This window comes from Homo sapiens, chromosome 5 (assembly GCF_000001405.40).
Source record: "Homo sapiens chromosome 5, GRCh38.p14 Primary Assembly".
NCBI lineage: Eukaryota > Metazoa > Chordata > Mammalia > Primates > Hominidae > Homo > Homo sapiens.
Window position 1 is genome coordinate 176,611,343 of NC_000005.10, and position 8,223 is coordinate 176,619,565.

General features: G+C 52.2%; 2 annotated features.

Annotated features, from left to right (window-relative positions):
• Positions 46-340: a silencer, noted in NCBI's record as "tiled region #11151; HepG2 Repressive DNase matched - State 9:DNaseU, and K562 Repressive DNase unmatched - State 8:EnhW". NCBI's record gives its function as "represses a minimal TATA promoter and a strong SV40 promoter by Sharpr-MPRA in HepG2 and K562 cells {active_cell/tissue: HepG2 | K562}" and the evidence as "EXISTENCE:reporter gene assay evidence [ECO:0000049][PMID:27701403]".
• Positions 7,850-8,119: a silencer, noted in NCBI's record as "silent region_16662". NCBI's record gives its function as "represses an Ori minimal core promoter by ATAC-STARR-seq in GM12878 lymphoblastoid cells {active_cell/tissue: GM12878}" and the evidence as "EXISTENCE:reporter gene assay evidence [ECO:0000049][PMID:35858748]".

Here is an 8,223-nt window from a genome sequence, read left to right on the forward strand (position 1 = left end):
AGTCACCGTGATCCTTTAAAATATATATATATATATATATATATATATATATATATATATATATATATATATATATATATTTAAAATTCTAGGTGATAAATGAAGAAAATCCGTGGGACTGGCGTCTCCAGGCAGCACGCCAGGCAAGGAGAAAACCTCAGCGTGTCGGACCGGTTTCAGAACCACGGACAGCACCACACCAGGGCTGCTTCCTCACATTTCCGGTCCTGAAAATTGCTCATTCACTGCCCACAAGGCCATTTCGCTTCAGAGCTTACAAACCCTTATTCCACATTCATCATTTCATTTTTTTCTCCCTACAGCCCTTCAAAGTAAACATTACTGGCTCCATGACACAGATGAAATTAAGGCTTGGAGAAGTTCACAGATGTGAAAAGTGGCAAGAACCAACCTGTGATCGAAAAAGGTCCCCCTGGGACAGGACAAGGGTGGACAGGAGCAGAGACTAGGCAGGAGTGAGGAGGCTATGGCAGGTGTTCAGGTGAGCGATGATGATGCCTGAACCACGGCGGCATTTGTAGGGATGGAGAGGAAGAGTCAGATTGGATACCTATCTAGGGGTAAAATCAATAGGCCTTGACCATGAGGTGGATGTGGGTGGAGGGGAGAGAGAACTCTGCTGTCTCTCTGAGATTCTGCCTTGGGGAGCCAGGTGGATGAAGGACAGATAATTTATGAGCTCTGGGGGGAAAGAGGGGTTTATAGGATGGCCGTGCTGATACATTTGAGTCCAGAACTGAGTTCTGCCGTGGCCAAAGCTGAAGGCAGACAAGGGAGCCCATCCACCTCCAGCTGGTGCCGGAGGTCATGGGAGGGGTGTCGGCACATGGGAGGACGTACACATCAGGTACACACCAGGTAGGGAGACACAAGGGCCCTAGGCCAACCCTGAGGCACGCCAACATGAAGGGACTGGCTGGGAAAAGGAGGCTGCAGCAAAGAATGAGAAGCAGTCATCTGAGAAGCCAGAAGCAGCCCAGGAGAGTGTTATGTCTCAGAAGCCAAGGGAGAGAGTGTTCCAGAAGGCAGGAGAGTCACCACATCAAGAAGACAAGATATGGCCTGAAAGGTGTCCTCTGGACTTTGAAAGTTGATGACATGCAGTCAGTGGAGAAGCGGGGTGGAAGGCAGCCATGGTGGGGGGTAGGTTGATGAGGAAATAGGAGTAAGGAAATGGAGTGGGCAAGTAGACAACTTCCTCAGAAAGTCTGGGCTTTGAGAGAGAAAACAGGAATGACAGTCTCTCCAGAGGGATGGGAGGTTGAGCTGAAGGAGACTTGAAGGCATTTAAATTCTGATGGGAGGGGCCCAGTACAGAGGGAAAGGGCAAGGTGTCAGCAAAAGAGAGGACCAGGGCTGGGTCTGGATGCTCAGGTGGAAGGTGGGGATGGGATCCAGAACCCCAGGGCAGCTCCCAGACCTGGAGATAAAGATCAAAAGCATGTGGTTTATTTGTGAGGTGCAAGGACACCAGCAGGGGAGTGGGAAGGTGACCCAGGAAGGGAAGGCAGCCAGTATGAGGTTATTATTCAGTCGGCTACCACAGTGAGTGAAGCTTAATCCTGCAGGGAACTCTTGGAAAATGGGGTAAATACACATTTTGGAATTCTCCTGGCTGAGGGCAAGGGAGGTGGGGTATTTATATCCCAACACCAGCAGATGTTGGTTAAGGGCCATCCCTGGAATGTGTTGCATGGGCTGTATGTTAATTCCCAGGCATTCCTGGCCCACAATGAATGTGGGCAAAGTGGGTCCCAGCAGCCTGAGAGCATCTCTCTGACAAAGATGCAGGTACTGCTGGGAGTCCTGCCGGTAGGCACAAAAATGATAAGGGCACCCAAAGGGATGTGGTCAGAGTTCTGGCAGTGCCTGCTATGTGGACACTGGAGCCTCTTTAAAATCTGGGTCCTCTGCCATGCTCTGCAACCACTCTTGTTCCATAGGGACTTGTTGATAAAAACATTTTTAAAATGAAAATTTCCAGACAACAAAACAAAGCACTTGCTAACGCAGAGGAGGAGCTCAAAACAGGTACGGAGGCAGTTGATGTGGGTTCAGTCCTGGCTTTGCCAGTTACTAGCTGTATGGCCTTGGTTGAGGTCTCTCTTAGCCTCGATATCATCCTATACAATGCTTAGCTCTCAGAGCTCTAAGGAAGATGTAGGGAGGAAAAATACACCAAGTGCTTTTGCTGTGGACAGCAGTGTTATGGCAAGCCCAGCACCGCACACCCTTTTCTGACCACGGCACCTCCATCTTCCTTGGGAGACCACCTCCCCACCCCAGCCCATGTGGTGGGATGGGATGGATCCCAGTGCCAGCTCTAGGGTGGGCAGTGACCCAGGTCACTGATTTGTTCTGGGGGGAGGGGGAGTCAGGGATGGAGCACGGAACCAAAGCCACCTGCTTCTCATACTCTCCTGGAATTTTGGGCCTTGCTGAATCGGTGTTGCATACACCTGGAATTGCTGGGGGTCATCTTTGTCCCCGTGTGGAGAGAATCCATCTGGTCCCAGGTTGTGACTCATCCTAGGGTTCAGGCTCACCCTGTGACAAATGACATGGTCACCCACACCCGTGTGAGTGTGTGTATGTATCTCGGGTTGCTCTGCCACTGGGGAGCCATACACACTCGTACGCACCAGAAGATAAACAAGTGCCTGCAGCTCCTTGGCTGGCGCCCAGGCCGGGGGTGGAATAAACAATCCCAGTGACTTTCTGAAAAGCAAGCGTGTGTGGCAACAGGCACCATGGAGACAAGCAGACTGTACCAGAGCAGAGACAGCAGCCACCCCCCAAAGCCACCCCTGCGCGCGCGCACACACACACACACACACACACACACACAAAATATGTATCTTGCCCTCTTTCCCCTCTCGTTCACATTCATATCATGTTCATATCTCCTCCATAAAGCACAATCCCCTTCTCACACCCAGGCAGCTACTCCCATTCTAGCTTTGTTTGAGGCTAAAACTTTTGAGGTCTGAGACTCCCAAGACAACAGCATCCACAGTTCCTGAACTCGTTGCCTGGATACTGGCCCTGGTCTAGGCCATATTTCAGCAAATTGAAGCCACTAGAGAAGGTGTGTGCTCTGTGTGTGGGGGGGGGAGGGGGGAGGGCAGGCAGTGCCATATAAACCCAACTTTCTGTAAAGTTCTTGTGTTTGCTTCAGGGATGCACACACCACATACAAACACACACTCCTTCAAGAAATACTTACCTGTAGTTGTAGTTGGCTATGAAGATTGAAGAATTTTTTATATTTTTTTATTTAAAAATAAAAATAAAAAATACTTACCCAGACCCCACACACCTGCACCCTCTGAATACTCGGATCCACACCCATCCTCCTGTGTGCCGTGTATAACCCAGCACCCCCCAGATGATGATAACGATGGTAGTATACCACTTACTGTACATTAGTGTTTTACAGTCATCACCTCATTCTATTTAATCCTAAAGAAAACCATCTGAGACAATACAATTATTCCCATTTCATAGGTGAGGAAACTAAAAAGTTCAGAGACATTAAGTAACTTGCCAGGGTTGCACAACTAGAAAGTAATAAAGTTGGGAGTCAAACTCTAGCCCTACTCAGACACCCACACAACGCCCTCATACATGTGCACATGCTACATACATACACATATGCACACACATGAGGAAACTCTACCTCCTCAGTCAGCCCAGATAACTGATGCACATCGGGTCACCTTTCCCACCCTGATCTCCTCACATGCACTATCCCCGGGCCCTCACAGTGCTGCACTGATGGTCATGAGAGCCCCAGCCTGGGCACACAGGCACACAGCCTGCTGCTCACACAGGCCCCCTCCCCCCTCGCTGCACCCCCCTCACCCCCAGCAGCTGCGGCCCGGCCTGGATGAGGGAGGCCCCAGGATTCGGATGGGTGACTCAGGCTGAATCATGGCCCAGCTGCTCCTTGGCAGCCCTCTCTCCCATTCTGCCCGAGAGCCTTTTTTTTTTTCCTTTTTCTTTTTTGAGACAGGGTCTTGCTTTGCCTAGGATGGAGTGCAGTGTCATGATCACAGCTCACTGCAGCCTCCAATACCTGAGCCCAAGCAATCCTCCCACCTCAGTTTCCCAAGTAGCTGGGACTACAGGTGTGAGCAACTGCACACAGCTAATTTTTAGTATTTTTTGTAGACAGGGTCTTGCTATGTTGCCCAGGCTGATTTTGAACTCCTGGGCTCAAGTTATCCCAGAGAGCCTATTTGGAAAGCAAAGTTGGATCTTAGGGCAGGGGACAATGAGTTGGTGGTAGACAATAAGGGATGGAGCACTTGAGAGGGAGAAATTGGGCACAAGAAGACCTCTGTGCCCTCCTCCACTCCCTGATATCCTGCAGGTGCACCCAGGCAGCCCCCACCCATGTCCCTCATTCTGCCAGGGAAAGGAGTCCTTCCGCCTGGACCCTGGCCAGGGGCTCCCTCTCTAATCTCAGGGCCAATTTTGGTTCCCCGCCCTACCTCTTGGTCCTAACAATGACAATAACAATAAACAATATTAACTATTCTAATTGATCACTCCCAATTTACAGCACCCTATAATTTACGAAGCACTTTCTCATCAGTATTGCATTAATTCTCCTACTAGTCCTATGGGGTGGAAATTAGCATCCTCATTTTGGGGCTCAGGAAACCAAGGCTCAGAGAGGTTATGTGAACTTCCACTGCCACAGTTGGTGGGGTGACAGAGTCAGGAAGCAAGCCTGGTCCAATCTGTGGAGTAAGCACTAGGGCCAGAAGTCAAGTTGCAGTTGGGTGTGGTGGGCACACAGTAGGAGGTAGGTGGGGGTACTGCAGGGGCATGGTAGGGTGCATGGCAGAGGGCATGGCAGATGCATGGCCAGTGGCTTGCTGTGTGGCAGGTTTGTTGTAAACTTTTTCTCTCTATCCTTCTGTAAGTAAAGAATTACAGAATGATTTATGCTTTCAAGCTTTCTTTTCAGTGTGTCAGGCTGATATCCCAAGGCTCTCAACCCCACAGCATGGAGCTTCCACTGGGCTGCAAGACTTTTGCTTCTTGAAACCTCTATTTCCTCATCTGAAAAAATGGGTCCAAGTTTCGGGCAGGTAGGCTATTGAGAGGTGCAAGTGAAATCATGGTGCCCTTGAGGAGCCAGGAAGGACTTCCCAAAGGCCGCTGCTTGTCACATTTTGTTTTCTCTTTTTAAAAAACACGATGGGTGCTGGGCAGAGGGAGGGGTGGGCTTCTAGGAGCCTGGGGGTGGTACTAAGAGGGGAGTGGGTGACAGCTCTTCCTTCCCCTGCCTGGGCTCGGCCTGGCCTTCCCCCACCCTCAGCCCAGAGCCTGTTTCCAGGCAACAGGATGGATGCAGGGATGGTTTGAAGGGGAGAGAGCTATAAATAGGGAAGGGAGAAAACAAAAATAAAGTTCCAGAGAAAGCTGTGGAGCTGCATTGCTGGGGGTGGGGGTAGGGAGACCGACGAACAGCGGGGACGGGGGACAGTCCCCAGCCCTCCATCAGTGGGAGAGGGCAGTTTTCAGGTTAGCCACCCAGCAATGGTCCTCAGGGTGCTGACATGGGTGGGAAGGCAGTCTCTGTGTGCACAGCAAAGCAGGATGGGGGTGAGGAGGAGAAATCACTTCCAGTCAGAGGACTAACAAAAGCTCAGAAGAGGGAGGGTTGCGGCAGGCAGAGGTGACGGCCGCTGTCTGGATGGAGGAGGAGGCAGGCAGACAAAGGGAAATCATGGGCCAGGTAAGGTGGGGTTGGATCCACGGATCTCAGGAGGCCTGGCTGGGCTCAGCCTGATGGCCACACTGCTGGGGACACACAGACACAGCGAGGTGGGCTTTTCCTCCATCTGCGACACTTGCCACCCCCCAGGTCTTCCCATACCACCCTCTCCTCCATCAGGTTTCAGCTCCAACCTCCCCTCCTCAGACAACTCAGACAACTGACCTGACAGCCTTCTTTTCTTTCTTTCTTCTTCTTTTTTTTTTTTAGACGGAGTCTCGCTCTGTCACCCAGGCTGGAGTGCAGTGGCTCCATCTCCGCTCACTGCAAACTCCGCCTCCCGAGTTCACGCCATTCTCCTGCCTCAGCCTCCCGAGTAGCTGGGACTACAGGCACCTGCCACCATGCCCGGCTAATTTTTTGTATTTTTAGTAGAGACGTTAGCCAGGATGGTCTCGATCTCCTGACCTCATGATCCGCCTGCCTGGGCCTCCCAAAGTGCTGGGATTACAGGCTTGAGCCACCGTGTCCGGCCCCTGGCCGCCTTATTTTAAGGTTGCTCACCACCTCCTCTTCGTCGCATTCTATCACACCGCCCTGCTTTGTTCTTCGTAAAACTCAAGATTATCTTGTTCCATGTATTTGTTGGCCATTTTGTGATCACTAGGTGAGCTCTAGTCGGAGCAGTGACCTGAGGGCTGTTCCCTGCAGCCCCTCCTCCATCTAAGGACAGAGCATCTGTGCCACGCACACTGTCGGACTAAACGAACCCGCAACATGGGTACATGCGTGAACACTGATACAGACACAGCACACTTCATGCCCATACCACCTTTGTAAGTGTGCACACATAGCTCAAACCCACCCACATACACAACCTCGCTACCTGGCTCCATGAAATTGCACAAGTGTCCGTAATCTCCACGCTGCTACCTCCACATTTTCCTGTGTCTTTTGTTTATCTCCCCTCAGAGGCAAAGCAGGCCCCTTTTGGAAATTCCAAAGGAGGTGGGCTTTGGAGACAGGCTTGGGGCCAAATGTGGCCTTTGCCACTTCCTAGCAATGGCGACAGTGGGCAGGTAACTGCCTCTCCAGCCTTCATTCCTTCATCCATAAATTGGGGGTAAAAAACAAGAAAGACTTGATGGCAGTTTCCAGTGAAATTACTGGAGATAAGCGTTTCATGGATATACTGGGCACTTGGGAAATGGCTTGGTCCCTGTCACCAGAGAGAGCCCATGAGATGTGTGGGCTCTCACATGCACACGGTCAAGGCTTCTGACACGAGGCTGGTATCTTGGCTGACACTTCTAGGCCTGTGCCTGGAATGCATTGACCCTGGCAGATGAGAACACTGGTCTCTGAGCAGAACCATTCTCAGTGGGACCAGGTGTGAGGGTTGGCACCCAGGAAGCAGGAATGAATCTCCCCACAAGCCAGATGGCAAACCTGGTTTTGGCGTTTAAAAATGGGGATCAGGTGCTGGTAGCTGGATTGGAGGCGGCAAACTCAGTCTTTAGGGGCCACGCAGTGCATGAAAATGAGTGAAGTGGATGGGTGTGATACAAAAGGAGGGGAAGGGACTGCGACCAACTGGAAGTGTGTCCAGCCTAAAGGCATTCAAATTTTACAATTTTAAAACCTTGTGCTCGCAAATCAAACATATCTACAGGCCAAATTCAGCCTGAGGGCCACGAGTTTGCAATCTCCACGGATTGTGGGTTGTGAGTAGCATCTTAATTCAACCAAAAGGGATCTGGAGCTCCTGGCATCCTCACGTAAGTGACTCAGAGAATCCAAGCCCACCGGTTTGTTCCCCCCCGCCACCCCACCCGCCTCACGTCTGCCAGCTGCCTCCTACTTCCGGAAATAAAGGTCCCTACCCTGCGGGCCAAGGTGACCTGAGCAGAACGGTCTCCCGCAGCGTTCAAGGCCTTCTTCCCGGCTTGGCACCACTTCTTGCCCCCAACAACTCAGGGAAAGAGGAGGCGCTAACACTCGGGGGCTAACTGAATAGAGCAACCTTCTTCCAGCTAGAGGCTGGAGGGCGAGGCAGGCTTGCGGCACGAATTGAGGTCGCACTGAGGTTTAGAATAGGGCAGGGTCTTGCGCAGGCGAGTTTGGGGGCCTCTGCGGCATAGCCACGCCAAGAGCCAGTCCGGGTGGGGGCGGGGCCTCTGCGGGACGGGGCGGGGCCTCGGTGCAAGCGCGGAGAGAGGGCCTCTGCGGCAAGAGGGCAGGGGCGGGGCCTCGCGCAGGGACTGCCTATGCCAATAAAGGCAGCGCATGGGGGGCGGTGCCTCTGCGCGGAGCCAGCAGTATCTCCGCCCCCATCTTTCTCACTCTGAGGCGGTGTTGGGGGCCCCCTAGTGCTGATCCTGATCCGCTCAAGGCTCCCGGGCGGCATCCCAGACCTCTGCGGGCCCTCGCCCACCTCAAACTTTCGGCCTCAAACATTCCGGCGCCTTCGT